The sequence below is a fragment of the Homo sapiens genome, chromosome 4 (genome assembly GCF_000001405.40).
Source record: "Homo sapiens chromosome 4, GRCh38.p14 Primary Assembly".
Taxonomy (NCBI): Eukaryota; Metazoa; Chordata; class Mammalia; order Primates; family Hominidae; genus Homo; species Homo sapiens.
This window is the reverse complement of record NC_000004.12, coordinates 169,932,278-169,951,613: the sequence shown is the minus strand read 5'-3', so window position 1 is coordinate 169,951,613 and position 19,336 is coordinate 169,932,278. Positions and strand designations below refer to the sequence as shown.

General features: G+C 44.6%; 2 long non-coding RNA genes across 2 annotated transcripts in view; one reads left to right on the top strand and one right to left on the bottom strand.

The window, feature by feature from the left end:
- Positions 1–19,336, top strand: part of LINC02275 (long intergenic non-protein coding RNA 2275) — a 58,142-nt gene that overhangs the window by 24,289 nt on the left and 14,517 nt on the right. Inside the window, exons 2-3 of the long non-coding RNA NR_037878.1 lie at positions 8,771–8,908; positions 17,548–17,623. This is a non-coding gene — a long non-coding RNA (long intergenic non-protein coding RNA 2275). The remainder of the gene's footprint in view (positions 1–8,770; positions 8,909–17,547; positions 17,624–19,336) is intronic.
- Positions 9,930–19,336, bottom strand: part of LOC105377530 (uncharacterized) — a 28,967-nt gene continuing 19,560 nt past the window's right edge. The window contains exons 2-4 of the long non-coding RNA XR_939439.3: positions 11,272–11,355; positions 10,954–11,093; positions 9,930–10,388 (exon numbers count right to left, since the gene is read on the bottom strand). This is a non-coding gene — a long non-coding RNA (uncharacterized LOC105377530). The remainder of the gene's footprint in view (positions 10,389–10,953; positions 11,094–11,271; positions 11,356–19,336) is intronic.

Below are 19,336 nucleotides of genomic sequence, written 5' to 3'. Positions count from 1 at the left end.
TGGGCAATATGGCGAAACCACGTCTCTACCAAAAAATAGAAAAATTAGTAGGTATGGTGGCACGCACCTGTAGTCCCAGCTACTCGGGAGGCTGAGGTGGAAGGATCACCTGAGCCCAGGGAGGTCGAGGCTGCAGTGAGCTGTGATTGTGCCACTGTACTTCAGCCTGGGCAACAGAGTGAGACCCCATCTCAAAAAAAAAAAAAAAAAAAAACCCATGCATTCTACATTCTACAGAACCAAATTTTACATTCTGTCAAGGATAAGGTATTCTTTCCTTTGAGCTCTTCTGTAAAGACTTAAAATTATCTCATCCACAGTTCTGTTTGATTATTTTAAAAAATATATTGCCCTTACCCAAATGTTATGCTAATCCTCCCATCCCGTCCCTTCCATGTAGCTAAAAACAATGCAGAAAGGCTTGGATAAGAATATAATGATCTGGACTGATTCTTGATATCTGGGTTTTTAAAAAGAAGAATATACTGATAAAAATAATTACAGACATGCATTTGACTTTCTTAACTCCATATCTACTGGGGTCACTTTGTGCATTGAGATTCAAATAAAATTGGTTCAAATCCCCAGCTCATTTATTATGGGAAATCCTCCGACCTTCCCAGTGTGTCCAGGGACTTCACGGGCTTATGTTTTTGCCTAGTCACCTCTAGCTACTATGTTCTCTTCTCCTCAATTCTAAATCTCTCAGGCCAGGTGCAGTGGCTCATGCCTGTAATCCCAGCATTTTGGGAGGCTGAGGCGGGCGGATCACGAGGTCAGGAGTTTGAGACCAGCCTGAGCAACATGGTGAAACCCTGTCTCTACTAAAAACACAAAAATCCCAGCTACTTGGGAGGCTGAGGCAGGAGAATCACTTGAACCTGGGAGGTGGAGGTTGCAGTGAGCTGACATTGCGCCATTTCACTCCAGCCTGGGTGACAGGGCGAGACTCCGTCTCAAAAAAATCTGTCTTATTCCTTGCTTGTTGAATTTAACCCTTGACTTGCATGGTCCAATCACCAAGTGGGGCATATGGCTGTTGAACATATATTTCCTCCCAAACACTATTCCTTTAAATTTCTGTTCTATTGTGGGCCCTGCTAAAGATTTGTGGTTAACAGTAGGGGATTATGTAACCTCACAATGTAACTTAAAATTAAATATTACACTTCTTTTTTCTTTTTTATTTAATTTTATTATTTTTATTTATTTATTTATTTTGAGACGGGGTCTCACTTTTGTCACCCAGGCTAGAGTGCAGTGGTGCCATCTCGGCTTACTGCAGCCTCAACCTCCCGGGTTCAAGTGATGCTCCTGCTTCAGCCCCATAGGTAGCTGGGACTACAGGCCCATACCACCATGCCTGGCTAATTTTTGTATTTTCAGTGGAGGCAGGGTTTTACCATGTTGCTCAGGCTGATCTTGAACTCCTGAGCTCAAGTGATCTGCCTGCTTCAACCTCCCAAAGTGCTAGAATTACAGGTGTGGGCCACCGTGCCCCGCCTTAGACATCTATTTTTTAAACATGTAAAAAAGGTTGTCAACATAGAAAAAGCTAGGGAGAGGTGTGGAGCCACACACAGGTAGAGCCACTCCTTTGAACTCTATCCATATGTGGAATTGTTTTACCTTCAAGATTCACTCATTCATTCGGCAAATATTTATTGAGCATCTACTATGAACTGGGCACTGTGAAAGACAGTGCAAGTGTAGAAACTAATAAGACAGAGTTGTGTTGGAGACAGACAAATGAGAAGGTTAATACTGTAGACTGTGATGGGTTCATGTTCCCTAAGAGAGGCTGAACCTAGGATAGGGGAGGCTCCCCGGAAGCAATAATAACCTTAAGCTGATTCTTCAAGGGTGATTTGGAAGGAGCCAGGTAAAAAGGAAGGAATAGATAAGGATAGGCTGAAGAGTTAGACTAGGACCAGATAATGAGCATCCTGAAATAGCATGCTGATGGATTTGTACTTCTAAAATGTAAATTACATACAAAAATTAGCCGGGCTTGGTGGCATGCACCTGTAACAGCAGCTACTCAGGAGGCTGAGGCAGGAGAATCACTTGAACCCGGGAGGCAGAGGTTGCAGTGAGCTGAGATCATGCCACTGCTCTCCAGCCTGGGCAACAGAGCAAGACTCTGTTTCAAAAAAAAATAAAAATAAAAAGTAAATTATAGTGCCTGGCACAAAGTAAAGTTCTCAGCAAATGCTTGTTCTTTATTACTTATCCTATGGGCAATAGGACAGATTTTAAATGGTGTGTGTCCATGTGTCAGGGTGAGAGGGTGAGTGGGGAGGTGTGTTGACATAATAAGATTTGCAGGTTGCAAGATCCCTTTGGCTACAGGGAGGAAAATAGGTTGTAGGAATCAGTATTAGAAGTAGCAAGGCAGTGTAAGAGTCTGATAGAGTGATCTGGCAAAGTATGATGGAAGAGAGAGTAGAAGAATGGCCATAGAGAAGGGGAAAGAAAGTGGTAGAGTAGTATAGAGATAGGGATGGGGTGAGGGAAAGTTGGCATCAAGGATGACATGGAGTTTCCCAGCTGAGCAAATAAGTAGATGGTGGTGCCCTTCCCTGAGATAGAGAATTGCTGGAAGAAGAGGGGAGAGGGTGGTGGGGAGAAATAGTGCTTTCTATTTTTTGAAATGTCCAGCTTTAATGCCTGTGGGTCATGCAGACAGCTGGGCATAGACTGAAATTAATGAGGAAATCTGGACTAGAAACATAACTTTGGCAATTTGGCAGCCTTTAGAGAGTAATTAAATCCGTGGGAGTGGAGGAAATCACCCTGAAGCAGTCCTAGGGGAGAACCCTGATGGTCACCTTTAGCTGGAGGATGAACAGAGGAACTAGAGAGGCAGAACAAGACCAAGATTCCAGAGAAGCAGGAAAAACACAAAGCGCACAGGCTATGAAGCAAGGAGGAGAGCATTTCAACAAGACAGGGTAACACATTTTGCTGGAAATTCAAGTAAGATTAAGAATTTTTAAAATCCCCTTTACTATTCCCTCAGCCTTATTGAGGCTACAATCTGCCCTCATGGAAATCTTCTCTTTAAGCTCTGTTCTTACCACGTTTGCTTATTCTTGACCTCATTTGCCTTCTTACGTAGCTTAAATCCCATCATCAGCCCATATCTAAAATTGTTGGCCAGCAGTTCTAAAACGATTCATGTGAAACAACTTAAGCTGACTCTGTCTGCTGTTAATTATCCTTTTCTCTCCTTATTTTCACTTTAATCACCATCTATGGCATTTCCCATAGCATCTGTTTCAAATATTTTCCATTTTCCTCAAAGCATGAATCCCTCCTTAACTCTCAGACTCAGCAAATAATCCCATCTCCTACTTTATGGGGAAGATGGAGGTTCATTGATGTGAGCTTTCCTAGAAATTTCCCTTCTTTGTACTTCAAAACTTCTCTCATCTTCTCCTATTCTCTCCCTTTTCCTATATGTTGAAAACAAAAAAGTTCCCCTTTCCAAATCTAACTTACAGGTAACCTTAACCCCTGTCTACCAATTGTCCCCGACCTCTCTCTTGAGATTGGTTTTCTTTCTACTCTCGCCATTGCCTTCCAGACTATTATCAACTTTCAGCCTTCTGTGGTAGGCAGACTCTAAGATGGCCCCATAATTCCTGCCTCCTGGTGTTCCTGACCATGTACGTCCCCTCACAGGTAGGACCTGTGATTTGCTTCTAACAATTAGAATATGGCAAAGGTAACGGGATGTTACCTATACTGTTATATAGCCACACGCAGCTAATTCACCTGTATACCTAAAACAATCTTTCCCCAAAACTGTGCTCTCCAACATCCATTGTTCTTTTTTTCCCTTTGTTATAATATTTCTTTTCTTTTCTTTTCTTTTTTTCGACAGAATCTCCCAGGTTGGAGTGCAGAGGCACAATCTCAGCTCACTGCAACCTCCACCCCCGGGTTCAAGCGATTCTCCTGCCTCAGCCTCCAGAGTGGCTGGGACTACAGCTGCACGCCACCATGCCCAGCTAAATTTTTGTATTTTTAGTAGAGATGGGGTTTCAGCATGTTGGCCAGGCTGGTCTCGAACTCCTGACCTTAGGTGATCCACCTGCCTTGGCCTCCCAAAGTGCTGGGATTAAAGGTGTGAGCCACTGCATACAGCCTATATAATATTTACTGAAAGGAAAAGAATCTATATTAGCTACATCCACATTATTATCATCTATCCTGTGATGAATTTTCAATAGACTCAAATTTTTGGCTCCTCCCATTGAGAAGTGGAGTCTACTCCTCCACTGGGTTGACCTTGTGGCTTCCTTTTACTAACAGAGTGCGGTTGAAACAATACTATGTAACATCAGAGACAGACTTAAGAGATCAACTGCTTTATGGCCGGGCGAGGTGGTTCACACCTGTAATCCCAGCACTTTAGGAGGCCAAGGCGGGTGGGTCACGAGGTCAGGAGATCGAGACCATCCTGGCTGACACGGTGAAACCTCGTCTCTACTAAAAATACAAAAAAAAATTAGCCGGGCGCGGTGGCGGGTGCCTGTAGTCCCAGCTACTCTGGAGGCTGAGGCAGGAGAATCGCTTGAACCCGGGAGGCGGAGTTTGCAGTGAGCCGAGATCGCGCCACTGCACTCCAGCCTGGGCGATAGAGCGAGACTCTGTCTCAAAAAAATAGAGATCAACTGCTTTGACTTTTATGAACTTGGAACAGATCTTGCTGGAATCCCACCACCATGCTGTGAGAAACTCAACCTCATGCATAAACTGTGTGCAGGGGATAACTGAGGCTCTCTGGCCAACAGCCCCAGCTGGGTTCTCAGCCAACAGCCAGCACTGACAGCCAGTCAGGTGAATCAGCTATTTGGGATGTTTCTGTGCAATCAAGCCTCCAGATGACTGCAGCCTCCCAGCGCCCCAGCCAACACCATTTGGAGCTGAAGGATCACCCAGCTAAGCCTAGAGCCTAGTCAATGCTTGGAAATGTGAGAAACAATAAATGATGCTACTACTTTTTTTTTTGAGATGGAGTCTCGCTCTGTCGCCCAGGCTGGAGTTCAGTGGCACAATCTCGGCTCACCACAACCTCCGCCTCCCAGGTTCAAGCAATTCTCCTGCCCCAGCCTCCCGAGTAGCTGGGACTACAGGCGCATGCCACCATGCTAGGCTAATTTTTGTATTTTTAGTAGAGGTGGGTTTTCACTATGTTGGCCAGGCTGGTCTCAAACTCCTGACCTTGTGATCCTCCCACCTTGGCCTCCCAAACTGCTGGGATTACAGGCGTGAGCCACTGTGCCCGGCAAATGACGCTACTATTTTAAGTTGCTATTTCTGGGGTTGTTTGCTAAGCACCACTAGGTCACTAAACATTCACTTTTCATCCTTACCTCTCTGATGAAGCAGTTCCTTTCAAGAACAGTAATCCTGGTCTCAAAATTTAGTAATCTTTTTTGTTTGTTTTTCTTTCTTGACAGCTCCAAGGCATATGATACTAATGAAATTCTTTTACTTTCTTCATGCTTTCTTCTCCTTTCATTTCCGTAACATCCTCTGGGACTCCATTTCTTCCCCTCATCCCCTAGATTAAATGTTCCCCAAGGTACTGTACTTGGACATTTCTCTGTATGCCCTCTTGCTTGATAGTCTCATCCAATCTCATTGTTTTAAATATCACCTCTATGCAGGTAATGTTCAAATCCTTTAAGAGGCACAATGATTAGAAGCTCAAGGTCTGGAAATGGGCCAGACAGAGTTTTAATCCTGGATCTGCCAATTACTAGCCATGTGACAATGAACGAGTGGCTTAACCTCTCTAAACCTCCATTTTCTCTTCTCTTAAATCTGGATAATAATTGGATCTTGCTCATAGGAATATCACTTCAGCCTGCCACAGAGTAAGTGCTCAGTCAGTGCTTTTCAACATTTTAGTTTTCCATATTACTGCTTCCATTAGAAAAATGATAATGCCAGTATGCATTCTGGGATAAATGGAAGTGGCTGCTCAGGCTAAAGACAATTGGTCTGGGGGCTTTGGGCTCTCCAGCCCCTGCCCAGCCCCCACCCTAATGCATAATCAATATTTGGGCCCATCAGCTCATTACTGGCACACCGAAGGGAAGCTTTACAGGAAATGGTAGCAATTATCCTTATATCTGGCCCTGATCTCTCTCCAGGGCTCCAGGCCCACAATAATAACTCTCTGCTGGACACTATCCCCACCACCTTCACCCCTAAACCAGATGATGATTCTCAAAGTGAGGTCCAGGGTCAGTAGCGTCAGCACCACCTAAGAACTCTTTAGAAATGCAAATTCAAGCCCCAACCCAGACCAACTGAATCAGCAGCTCTACGGATGCGCCCAGCAATATGCATTTTAACAAACTCTCCATGTAATTCTGATGCAGGCAAAAGTTAGAGAACAAGTGACCTATAGTGATATCAACTCCGAGGACCAAGGATGCTCCTCCGGCTTTGCTTCCTACTTGGGTTAATTGGTTCCACTACCCTCCCAGCTACCTGGGCTCATAAACCTCCCATTCATTCTTGACTTTTCCATCCTGCCTCCCTGCTGTATCTAGTCAGTCACCAATCCTGTCTTTGCCTCTAACAAAGTTAGTCTTATTCACATATTTCTTTCTTTATATCTTTTTTTTTTTTTTTGAGACGGAGTTTCGCTCTTGTTGCCCAGGCTGGAGTGCAATGGCACGATCTTGGCTCACCGCAACCTCCGCCTTCTGGGTTCAGGCAATTCTCCTGCCTCAGCCTCCCAAGTAGTTGGGATTACAGGCACCCACCACCACGCCCGGCTAATTTTGTATTTTTAGTAGAGACCGGTTTCTCCATGTTGGTCAGGCTGGTCTCGAACTCTTGACCTCAGGTGATCCACCCACCTTGGCCTCCCAAAGTGCTGGGATTACAGGCATGAGCCACTGCGCCCGGCCTCACATATTTCTTTCTTGGCTCTGTTCCCACAACCACTCCCGAGGAAGTGCTGGCCAGTTTCTCTCAAACCAATTCATTTAAAAGCCAATTTGCCTGTGACCAATTTCACTTACAGCCAGTTAGGATAAAGTAAATTCATTTAAAAATTAATTTCATGCAGATAAATTGGCCCATTATTTTCTTTATGACTTCTACTACTTCTAAGTTTACTAAGTCTTTACCGCTCCAGATGTTATAAATATACAAATATCTAATTCTATTTGTCCAGTGTTTTACACTTTAATTTTTTTGCACTTGACTCTTGAATTGTCTGGAATGTGTTTTGGCTTCTGAGCATCAAGCGAAGGTCAAATTGCTTGCCTGCTTACCATGCATAGCAGAAAGCTCCTCATTTACAAGTCTAAGTTCTGAGCTCTCGGCCATTACAACTTTATTCCCCTCACAGCCAAGCAGAAAGATCAAAGACCATACCCAGGAAGGCTGAAGTGCTGCGATTGTTGTTTCACAAGGGCGTGATTGTCCCACTTTCCACATTTTGTAGCAGGACAAGCCGCAGACGAAACCCCTCAGACACCGAGTTAAAGAAGGAGGGGCTTTATTCGGCTGGGAGCTTCAGCAAGACTCACGTCTCCAACAACCGAGCTCCCCGAGCGAGCAATTCCTGTCCCTTTTAAGGGCTCACAACTCTAAGGGGGTCTGTGTGAGAGGGTCGTGATTGATTGAGCAAGCAGGGGGTACATGACTGGGGGCTGCATGCACCGGTAATTAGAACGGAACAGAAGAGGACAGGCATTTTCACAGTGCTTTTCTATACAATGTCTGTAATTTATAGATAACATAACCGAATAGGTCAGGGTCAGGGGTTGATATTTAACTACCAGGCCCAGGGTGTGGCCCGGGCTGTCTGCCTGTGGATTTCATTTCCGCCTTTTAGTTTTTACTTTTTCTTTGGAGGCAGAAATTGGGCATAAGACAATATGAGGGGTGGTCTCCTCCCTTAATTTGACTGACTTCCTGGGAAGAAACATACTTTCTTATTAGCATCTTGAAATGAGCTTACTTGCAAGAAAGTAAGGCAGAAGTGTCCCTGGACAAATTAGCTTTTAAAATCCTTAAATGTTCAAAAATTAGTGTAAGGAAACAACAGAACCAATGTGGGCGAGGTCTGGGTATGGTGGGCGGTGTCATCACCTCACCTCTATTTCTTTATCTTTTTAAAGAAATTGGCTGGACACGGTGGCTCACTCCTGTAATCCCTGCACTTTGGGAGGCCGAGGCGGGTGGATCACCTCAGGTCAGGAGTTCGTGACCATCCTGGCCAACAAGTGAAACCCCATCTCTACTAGAAAGACAAAAATTAGCTGGGCGTGGTGGCACACACCTATAATCCCAGCCACTCAGGAGGCTGAGGCAGCAGAATTGCTTGAACCCAGGAGGTGGAGGTTGCAGTGAGCCAAGATCGCACCACCGCACTCCAGCCTGGGCAATGAGAGCAAAACCCCATCTAAAAAACAACAACAAAATAATAATGTAAGGAATCTAAACTTTCTAGATATTCCCTTCCTCTGAGGCACTTTCTCTCCCTGCTTTTCAACTGCCATTGTGGCCAGAGGAAAGTCAGGACAGAGAAGGAGGAAATGGGGAAGGAGAAGTGACTGTCAGGTAAGAGATGGTGGGCCCACCCCTTCTGCCCCCAGAGGATGAGGCAGGGACTGGAAAGTATAGGTGAAAAAAGTAATATCTTTTCTCATTCAATGCTAGGCTCATGGCTAAGACTCAAATAACAAAAATCGGATTAACAAGAGAGTGCATACGGATTTATTTAATATAGGTATTATGTGACACGGGAACTTTCAGAAAATGAAGACCCAAAGGAACAGGAGATCTGTGGATTTTCATGGACAGTCATCTGTGGATTTTCAAGGACAGTCATGCAGAAGCATACTTGGAGAACAGGGATTATCTTGAGGTAATGAACTTGGGGGTGGGCATTTACCAAAGCCTGCTTGTTCACATTCCTCTTGGCCTTTGTGCATGACATTCCTTCCCTCTGGGCATAGGGCAGGACACCTGTCACGTGAGGATTTTCAGGGGAGGAGGGCAAGGTCGGACAGTGAACTTCCTAGGTTTTATGACTTGCTTCAGAGAAGAAGGGCAAGAAGAACGTGAGGTAGGCCGGGCGCAGTGGCTCACGCCTGTAATCCCAGCACTTTGGGAGGCCGAGGCGGGCGGATCATTTGAGGCCAGGAGTTCAAGGCCAGCCTGGTCAACATGGTGAAACCATGTCTCTACTAAAAATACAAAAATTAGCCACTTGTGGTGGTGGGCACCTGTAATCCCAGCTACTCAGGAGGCTGAGGCAGGAGAATCCCTTGAGCCTGGGAGGCAGAGGTTGCAATGAGCCACAATTGCACCATTGTACTCCAGCCTGGACAACAGAGCTAGACCCTGTTGAAAGAAAAAAAAAGAAAGAAAAAGAAAGAAAGAGAAAGAAAGAAAGAAAGAAAAAGAAAAAGGTGAAATAGCCTTCCTGCTTCTGCTTTTTCAATTTCCAAGGTGCCATATTTTGAGGCAGTGTTTCCTACACCACTTCAGGAGATAAGGGTTTGACACATTTGGGATGACGGCTCCCTTTCTGGTGTCTATCCAGAAGGGGTGTACAGTATCACAAAAAAGGAGGGGGAAAGCCAAAAACAGAGGGCTCCATGTGGGGAAGTCTCCTGTATGGGCTGGCTCCAGGCCACATGGGCAACTGTAGAACTACAACAGGTTTGTTGCCTGATGTACCCAGTAAGTCAATATTCTGAGACTCCAGGTTGCAGCAGAGAAAGAGGTGTAATCTCAGGTTCGCTGAGCAAGGAGATGGGAGGAAACCTCACATTCATCTCCCCAAGGAGTGTGGGCCTAGGGCTTTTTGGGGATTTGGAGTGGGGTGAAGTGTGGGGATCATTGTGTCACATGCGTCCGTGTGGAGAGACCACCAAACAGGCTTTGTGTGAGCAACAAGGCTGTTTATTTCACCTGGGTGCAGGCGGGCGGAGTCCGAAAATAGAGTCAGTGAAGGGAGATGGGGTGGGGCCATTTCACAGGATTTGGGTAGGTAGTGGAAAATTACAGTCAAAGGGGGTTGCTCTCTGGCGGACAGGGGTGGGGGGTCACAAGGTGCTCAGTGGAGGAGCTTCTGAGCCCAGATGAGCCAGGAGAAGGAATTTCACAAGGTAATGTCATCAGTTAAGGCAGGAACCGGCCAGTTTCACTTCTTTTGTGATTCCTCAGTTACTTCATGCCATCTGGATGTATACGTGCAGGCCTGGGCTCAGAGGCCTGACACATTGATTGGTTGAAGAACGCAGGGTGAAGTCATGGGACAGGGATATGAAGAAGCTGTATCCTTATGTGGATCCTGTTTCTCTGTAGGAGTTGTCAAACTGGTTGCTGGAATTCCGGGTCTGAAAAATATCTTAAGTGATCCTTAAGCCAAAGCCTTATGATTCTAATGTCAGAGATTCTATCTATAGAACAATGGGGGATGCAAATGGTCAGGATCTAGTGCCACATGATTTTCGGCAAAAAGGAAGTGCGCCAAAGAGCGGCCTGATTAATACTTATTATATTCCTGTCCAGAACCCTGCATGCAATTCTTGTCAACCTGGTAGGGACGGCTTCAGCTGCAGCAAAGGGAAAGGGACAGGAGAACCTGGTTAGACACAGAGAGTTTTGGGGACCTGTCCCAAGTTGCCCCCAGCTCCTGTGTGACATGAAGGAAAGTTTTTTCTCACCCCAGAATGGAGAGGAAGGCCACTGCACTGAGAGCAGCGGGCCCAGCCTGGGAGCAGTCATGGCCGGAGAAAAACACGTCCCTCCTAAAGAGGCCTCAGAGATTTGACAGAAATGCAGCTAAACTCAGAGCAATTTCTAGAACTCCTAGGATCCTGTGGGGTCGCATTAGCAGGGGAAAACCACCAGGGGCTGTTGTAGCCAAGAGCCAACCAGAAAGAAGTTTCTCACGTTTACCTCATGGACACTGGCCAAAGGCCCTGGGGCCAGCCCAGAGCAGCAGCCCCGCATGGACACCAGGAAGATCCAGAGGACAGTCAGAAGGTCTAGACGAGAGCCCTTTTCCCCTGAGGCCACCATGTCGCACTCCCAGGTCCCTACATCCAGAGAGGAAGAAAAAGGAGATTGAACATTTTCCTAAAATGACTGTTTAAACCTGTATTAGTCCATTCTCACGGTACTATAAAGAACTGCCTGAGACTGGGTAATTTACAAAGGAAAGAGGTTTAATTGACTCACAGTTCTGCAGGGCTGGGGAGGCCTCAGGAAACTTACAATCATGGCAGAAGGGGAAGGAAACGGGTCCTTTTTCATATGGCAGCAGGAGAGAGAAGAATGAGTGACCAGCAGAGAGGGAAGCTGCATATAAAAACATCAGATCTTGTGAAGAACAAACTCATTATCAGGAGAATAGGACAGGGGAAACCACCCCATGATCCAATTATATCCACCTGGTCCCTCCCATGATGCATGGGGATTATGGGAACTACAATTCAAGAGGAGATTTGGGTGGTGACACAGCCAAACCATATCAAAACCTATAGATACAGAGGGGCTGATTAAAAGGCTTGACTGTGCCCCCACCTCCACTGTCCATCACCACTCAGTCGAGTGAGGGAGGATGAGGAAGATTATATCATTATAGAAAATAAAGAAATACATTTTATTTGCGCTTCTTAGTAGATGTGTGCAAATAGCCCCCATTACATAATAAAAAGAAAATACAGTTAACCCTTGAACAACACAGGTTTGGCTGTGGGTGTTCACTTATACATGGATTTTCTTCCTCCTCTGCCACCCCTGAGAGAACAAAACCAACCCCTCCTCTTCCTCTTCCTCCTCCTCAGCCTACTCAATGTGAAGATGACAAGGGTGAAGATCTTTATCATCAGCCACTTGCACTTAATAAATAGTTAATATATTTTATCTTCCTTGTGTTTTTCTTCATAACATTTTCTTTTCTCTAGCTTACTTTCTTGTAAGAATACAGCATAAGATGCATATAACATGCAAAATATGTGTTGATCGATTGTTACCAGTAAGGATTCCAGTCAGCAGCAGGCTATTAATAGTTAGTGGGCAGTCATAAGTTATATATGGGCCAGATGTGGTGGCTCACACCTGTAATCCTAGCACTTTGGGAGGCCAAGGCAAATGGATTGCTTGAGCTCAGGAGTTCAAGACCAGCCTGGGGAACACGGTGAAACCCCAACTCTACAAAAAAATACAAAAATTAACCAGGCATGTTAGCACGTGCCTGTGGTCCCAGCTACTTGGGAGGCTGAGGTGGCTTGAGCCTGGGAGGTAGAGGTTGCAGTGAGCAAAAATTGCACCACTGCACTGAAGCCTGGGCAACAGAGTAAAACGCTGTCTCAAAAAAAAAAAAAAGAAGTTATATATGGATTTTCTAATGCAAGGATATTGGTACCCCTAACTCCTGCATTGTTCAAGGGTCAACTGTACATCCAAAAGCCTTAAAAACTCAAAAAGGTCTGGAAATTTCCTACCACAATTTTTTTTTTTTTTTTTTTGAGATGGAGTCTCGCTCTTTCGCCCAGGCTGGAGTGCAGTGGCGCGATCTCTGCTCACTGCAAGCTCCGCCTCCTGGGTTCACGCCATTCTCCTGCCTCAGCCACTGGAGTAGCTGAGACTACAGGCGTCCGCCGCCACGCCCAGCTAATTTTTTTTTTAGTATTTTTAGTAGAGACGGGGTTTCACCATCTTAGCCAGGATGGTCTCGATCTCCTGACCTCGTGATCCGCCCGCCTCAGCCTCCCAAAGTGTTGGGATTACAGCGTGAGCCACCGCGCCCGGCCATTTCCTACCATTCTCCCCACAAACAGGGCCAACTTGCATTACTTTTAAGTTTATTAAATATTTAATAAATGAAAACTAATATTTATTAAGCAATATATAACGTATGAAAAACAGGAATTTAACAAAAACCAAATACCCAAGGATCTGTTTGTAAAAAAGGGCACGCCCATAACCCTGAAGACCATCCCAGACCCTTTGTTTCTGCAGAGAAACTACCATCCTTGGTTTCGTATTCATCGTTGTCTTGTTTTCTCAATAGTTTTACTACATATTTTTGTTTCTCTAAACAATATGTCATTCAGCTTTGCAGGGTTGTTTTTTGTTTGTTTGTTTGAGATGGAGTCTCGGTCTTTTTGCCTAGGCTGGAATGCGATAGCACAATCTCAGCTCACTGCAACCTCCGCCTTCCAGGTTCAAGCGATCCTCCTGCCTCAGCCTCCCAAGTAGCTAGGATTACAGGCTGTTGGTTGTTGTTGTTGTTGTTGTTGTTGTTGTTTAAACTTTATATAGAGTCTTTGTTGTGTGTATTCTTTGGGGACTCTTCTTCTTTGGGTCAGCGTTGTGCTCCTCAGATGCTCCCATGTGGTTGTCAGCAACTCTAATTCATTCATTTTTCACTGATCAGTCTTCCAGTGACTAATTTAGTCACTCACGTTTGGAGTCTCCTATTGTTAGTTATTGCCAACAGTCCTGCTCTGAACATTCTTGTATGGACCCTGAACTGCACGACCCAAGAGTTTCTCTAAGGTAAATATCTAGGCAGGACCAGCTGATGCTATGAAACCTGTACAGACATATAGGTTCCCCATGCTTAGAAGGACCCTATGCTTTGGAACTCTACTGTCTCTTTCTTGAAATCTTAATTTTATTTTATTTTATTTATTTATTTATTTTTTTGGGACAGAGTCTCGCTCTGTTGCCCAGGCTGGAGTGCAGTGGCACAATCTTGGCTCACTGCAACCTCCACCTCCAGGGTTCAAGTGATTCTCCTGCCTCAGCCTCCTGAGTAGCTGGGACTACAGGCACCCACCACCACACCCGGCTATTTTTTTTTTTAATTTTTATTTTTGAGACAGAGTCTCGCTCTGTCGCCCAGGCTAGAGTGCAGTGGTGCGATCTCAGCTCACTGCAAGCTCCACCTCCCAGGTTCACGTCATTCTCCTCCCTCAGCCTCCTGAGTAGCTGGTACTACAGGCACCCGCCACCATGTCTGGCTAGTTTTTTGTATTTTTTTTTTTTAGTAGAGATGGGGTTTCACTGTGTTAGCCAGGATGGTCTCAATCTCCTGACCTCATGATCTGCCTGCCTTGGCCTCCCAAAGTGCTGGGATTACAGGCGTGAGCCACCGTGCCCGGCCATACCCAGCTAATTTTTGTATTTTTAGTAGACACGGGGTTTCACCATGTTGGCCAGGCTGGTCTCGAACTCCTAACCTCAGGTGATCTGCCTGCCTCAACCTCCCAAAATGCTGGGATTACAGGAGTGAGCCACTGGGCCCAGCCAAAATCTTAATTTTTTAAGCGACTCTGCATCTTCATTTTGCAGTGGCCCCCACAAACAATGTAGCTGGTCCTAACCTTAGAGTGGACTTTCTGGGTCACAGTGTCAACTTTAGTAGACCATTGTACTGTTGCAGACTTTGCAAATGGTTTTCCAAAGGTGTTACACCCGTTTATGTTTCCTACCAGCAGCAGATGAAAGTTCATATTGGTCCACATCCTTGCCCACACTTATTGTCCAACTTGAACACTTTTGTCAACCTGGTGGGTATGAAATACATTTTGTTGTATCGATTTTTTTTTGTTCTTTTTTTTAGACAGGGCCTCACTCTATCAACGCCTTGATTGGCTTTGTGAGACCCAGAGCAGGAAAATCAATCACGCCCACCCAGACTTCTGACCTAAAGAACTGTGAGATCATATATTTGTGTTGTTTTAAACCTCTAAGTTTGTCATCACTTGTTAGCGCAGCAATAGGAAACACAAGTGCCTGTCTGTGGGTAGAACGCTGAAGTCAGACAGGTGTGTTCAATCCTTTCGCTGTCACTTAAGAGCTTTTCAACCTCTCTAAGCTTCTGTATCCTCATTGTTGAAAAGAATAAACGGTGTAAATTCCTATTTAGCTTAGCTCACACAGGTTCTGGGGAAATTCAAAGTTATAACATACCAAATGCCTCATGTGCAATAGATTCACAAGGAATAACCTCCATACACAAGCCATGCTCCTGCATCCACGCCTTTGTCTTGCCTCTGATGCTCTAACTTCTTCACATCCACCTGCTGCCCATTCTCCAAGGCCCATCAACAATGTCACCTCTTAGGCAGAGCTTCTGCGACCCACCAAATACAAGTAATATCTTTCTCTTACGAATTCTTGTAGCATGCCATGTTTATCTCTCTCTTTCAGAGCAAGATTAAAGCTCAGGTCTCTTATTTCTGTCTAATATTAGGAAACAACAGAAAGGAAATGCAGAACATTAAAACTTCCTATGGCGCCCCGCTTATTGCACCACTGAGCTCTGGGAGCAGGTGCAGGTGGAAGGTAGCCCTCACCCTCCAAACCAGTAGTCTATGGATTCTCTGAATCCCAGTCATTGCCTCTCAGGATCAAAACTATGTACTAGGATCAGGAAGTGTTATGGGTTGAACTGTGTTCCCCCAAAATTCATATGCTGAAGCTCTAACCTCCAGTACCTGAAAATGTGACTATATCAGAAGCTAGGGCCTTTTTTTATTATTATTATTTTAATTTTTAATTTTTTTTTTTTTGAGACAGAGTCTTGCTGTGTTGCCCAGGCTGGAGTGCAGTGACATGATCTTGGCTCACTGCAAGCTCCGCCTCCTGGGTTCATGCCATTCTCCTGCCTCAGCCTCCCAAGTAGCTGGGACTACAGGCGCCCACCACCACGCCCAGCTAATTTTTTTGTATTTTTAGTAGAGATGGGGTTTCACCGTGTTAGTCAGGATGGTCTCGATCTCCTGACCTCGTGATTGATCAGCCTCGGCCTCCCAACGTGCTGGGATTACAGGCGTGAGCCACTGTGCCCGGCCTAGGGCCTTTAAAGAGGTGATTAATTAAAATGAAATAATTTCTTAACTATGCTAAAATCATTATTATGAATTTATTTACATACTATTTACCTCCTTGGAGAGATTACAACTTCCTGGGGCAGCAGCTGTGATCTCTTGATGACTGTTGAGCTCCAGCAATGAGTACAGGGCCTGGTGCTTAGCAAACAGTTAATGAATATGTGTTTAATGAATGAAGCCCAGTTCACAAGAAAAATAGCAACTGAGCTTCAGAGATGTGAACCCAAAATATCTGGAATCTGAGACGGGTCTCGATCAGTTTAGAAAGTTTGTTTAGAAAGGCGAAGGGCATACCCATGACACAACCTCAGGAGGTCCTGGCAACATGTGCCCACGGTGGTTGGGGTGCAGCATGCTTCTGTACATTCTAGGGCGACAGGGAGACATGAAACATCAATCAATATGTGTATGTGTAAGATGTACATTGCTTTGGTTCAGTCCAGAAAGGAGGGACAATTTGAAGAGTGGGGTAGTGGTTTCCAGGCCACACAGGCTAGACAAAAGAGACAAAAGGTTGCATTCTTTTGAGTCCTTGATCAGCCTTTCACTGAAAACACAATTTAGTCTGGCTCAGTGAATCTGCATTTTTACTTAAACAACAGGACAGAAGAAGCCATCAGATATGCATATGTCTCAGGTGAACCTCAGAGGGATGACTTTCTGTCTGGGGAGGTGAAGATAAGTTATCAGTTTACATTGCCAGGGTGAAATTCAACAGAATGGTTTTAGGATAAAGAGCTTGAGGCTCACAAGGAATTTCCTTGTGGGCCAATTGTGAGGGAGGTATGTGGCTTTTTTATCTTTGTAGCTATCTTACTTAGGAATAAGATGGGAGGCGGGTTTGCATGACACAGACCCCAGCTTCACTTTTCCCTTGGCTGAGTGATTTGAGGGTCGGTCCTGAGATTTATTTGCCTTTCATAGAGAGAAAAAGAATGTTTCAATAAATCACCTTCAATTCCACTAATTTGTTTCTGTAGGCCCAGTCTGAATTATTTTGGATTCTAAATATTTGAGCATCTTAAATAGGCATGGTTTGTGCAGAATCTGATTCAGTCTCTTCTTGACTTTCTAAGGCAAAATCTAGCCCAAACCAACACTTGTTCCCACCTCTTTTCTTTCATTCATGTGATAGTTTCCTGGCATTTAAAGGGCATTTGGTGTTAGCAGACATTTGCATGCATCCCATATATGTGTTTTCCTACATATGCATATATATTTGTATATACATATGTGCTTCTCTATTAATATTTTTAATACCCACCCCAAGTAAAAGAACCTTATTTAAAATATGTTGAGATTCTCAGGCCTGGTGCTGTGTCTTACATCTGAGAGGCCGAGGCAGGAGGATGGCTTGACCTCAGGAGTTTGAGACCAGCCTGATCAATGTGGCGAAACCCTGTCTCTACCAAAAATACAAAAGAATTAGCCAAGTGTGGTGGCATGTGCCTGTAGTCCCAGCTACTCAGGAGGCTGAGGTGGGAGGTTCACTTGAGCCTGGGAGGGGGAGGTTACAGTGAGCCAAGATTGTGCCACCGCACTCCAGCCTGGGCAACAGAGCAAGACCCCTTCTCAAAAAGTAAAAACAAAAAACAAAATAAATAAATAAAATATATTGAGATTCTCTTTATTTATGTTTCCTCAGGTTCTAGGGGCTAAGTGCATGTTTGAGTGAAAGCTGTAAGAGAGCTAATGAGCACAGAATCTAGAAAAAAAAATAGGTAAGTGTTCTCTCCCTCTCATGAGAAATGAATCAAAATCGAAGGTTTCCCCAAAGGAGGACAGCCTCCCTCAGCAAAAAGACTACTCCTGTTCTTTTCCTTATATCAGCAACTTATGCAGTGACTGTGCATTTTATCTGAAGAAACTAGAGATTTTTCTATTTAAAGGCCCGAGGAGAATATATTTGGCATGAATCCTTAGAGGAGTAGAAAGCTGTCTCTCTACTTGACCTCGCTTATCTGATTCTCCTCCCCAGAGTGGAACTTCTTATGGCCTGGAGGCTGATCCTCCAACTCGGTACCCAGAAGCCCTGCAAAGATTTAAAGGCTTTGCAAGACTAGTCTTTGTGGCTTAGCAAAACCCAGCCTGGTTTTGAACTAACTGTCCCAGTTGACTGAGATTTCTCTCCTTTTTCTGTTATCAATCACTGGTCCAAGTGTTTTATATCCTTTATTTCTCACTACATACGGCATTTTCCCCTCAGTATTTAAATTGTTGAGGATTTCAAAAGTGCCAATATTTAAGGTATAGATCCAAGAAGCCGCCCCCCACCCCAAGCCATCCTCCCCCAGGTCACTCTAACTGAAGTGCTTCTCTGTGCACGCCACTCAATTTTTTAGAGGCAATATGTGAGATCTTGTGTGACTTTCAAACTAAAGCTTAATTTAATGGAAGGAGATAAAAGAAAATTAAGAGCATTTCTGCGTTTGTGATTTTAATATTTACAATTCAGGATGGGTATAAAACAGAAGTCAAAGCAATGTGCTCACCCCTGGTTTTTTGGGTTTTGTTTTGGTTTTGGTTTTTTGAGACGGAGTCTCACTCTGTCGCCCAGGCTGGAGTGCAGTGGCACAATCTCGGCTCACTGCAACCTCCACCTCTCAGGTTCAAGCGATTATCCTGCCTCAGCCTCCAGAGTAGCTGAGATTATAGGCATGCACTACCACACCTAATTTTTGTATTTTTAGTAGAGACAGGGTTTCACCATGTTGGCCAGGTTGGTCTCGAACTTTTGACCTCAGGTGATCCACCCGTCTTGGCCTCCCCAAGTGCTGGGATTACAGGCATGAGCCACCATGCCTGGCCTCACCCCTGTTTTTTGTGAGTGTTTTACAGCTCATCAGGAGGCACTGGCATGTGCCGTCTTTTTCCTTTCCACCCTCTCAACTAAAAATAACTTCTCTTGAAGGTAGCCTTTCTTACAGGTGTTACACAGTGTTGTTTTTAATGTAATTTATGTGGAAGGATAATTTTGAAGTGGCTATCAACTTTGCTTCATGGCCATTTATCGTAACAGTATTTTGTGATGATAACGTGCCACTGGAGACATAGGGGGTTTCTATTTCAGTAAGGAAGAAAAACTGATGAAAGTTTCTTCCTGACTTTGATGAAGTGGAGGTCTAAATGCCATCCTAACAGAAATGCAGGCCACGTTTTTTAAAGCTACCCCAGGGGGAAGACACAACAAACACACAACAGTAACTGTTTTTTTAAATCTCAGCATTTAAGCTATAAATATTATCTTCTACTTGTCTAAGCACTTTACCATTACAACAAGATTTCTCATTCATTCTTTTGTGTATTTCCCACAATTACCTTGTGGTAACGGAAGAAAAGCTATTATTATGTCTATCTTCCTCATGGCAAAACCATAGTTCACAGGCTCAAGGTCACATAGTTGGTGAGCCGCAAAAGCTTAAACCTAGATCTAG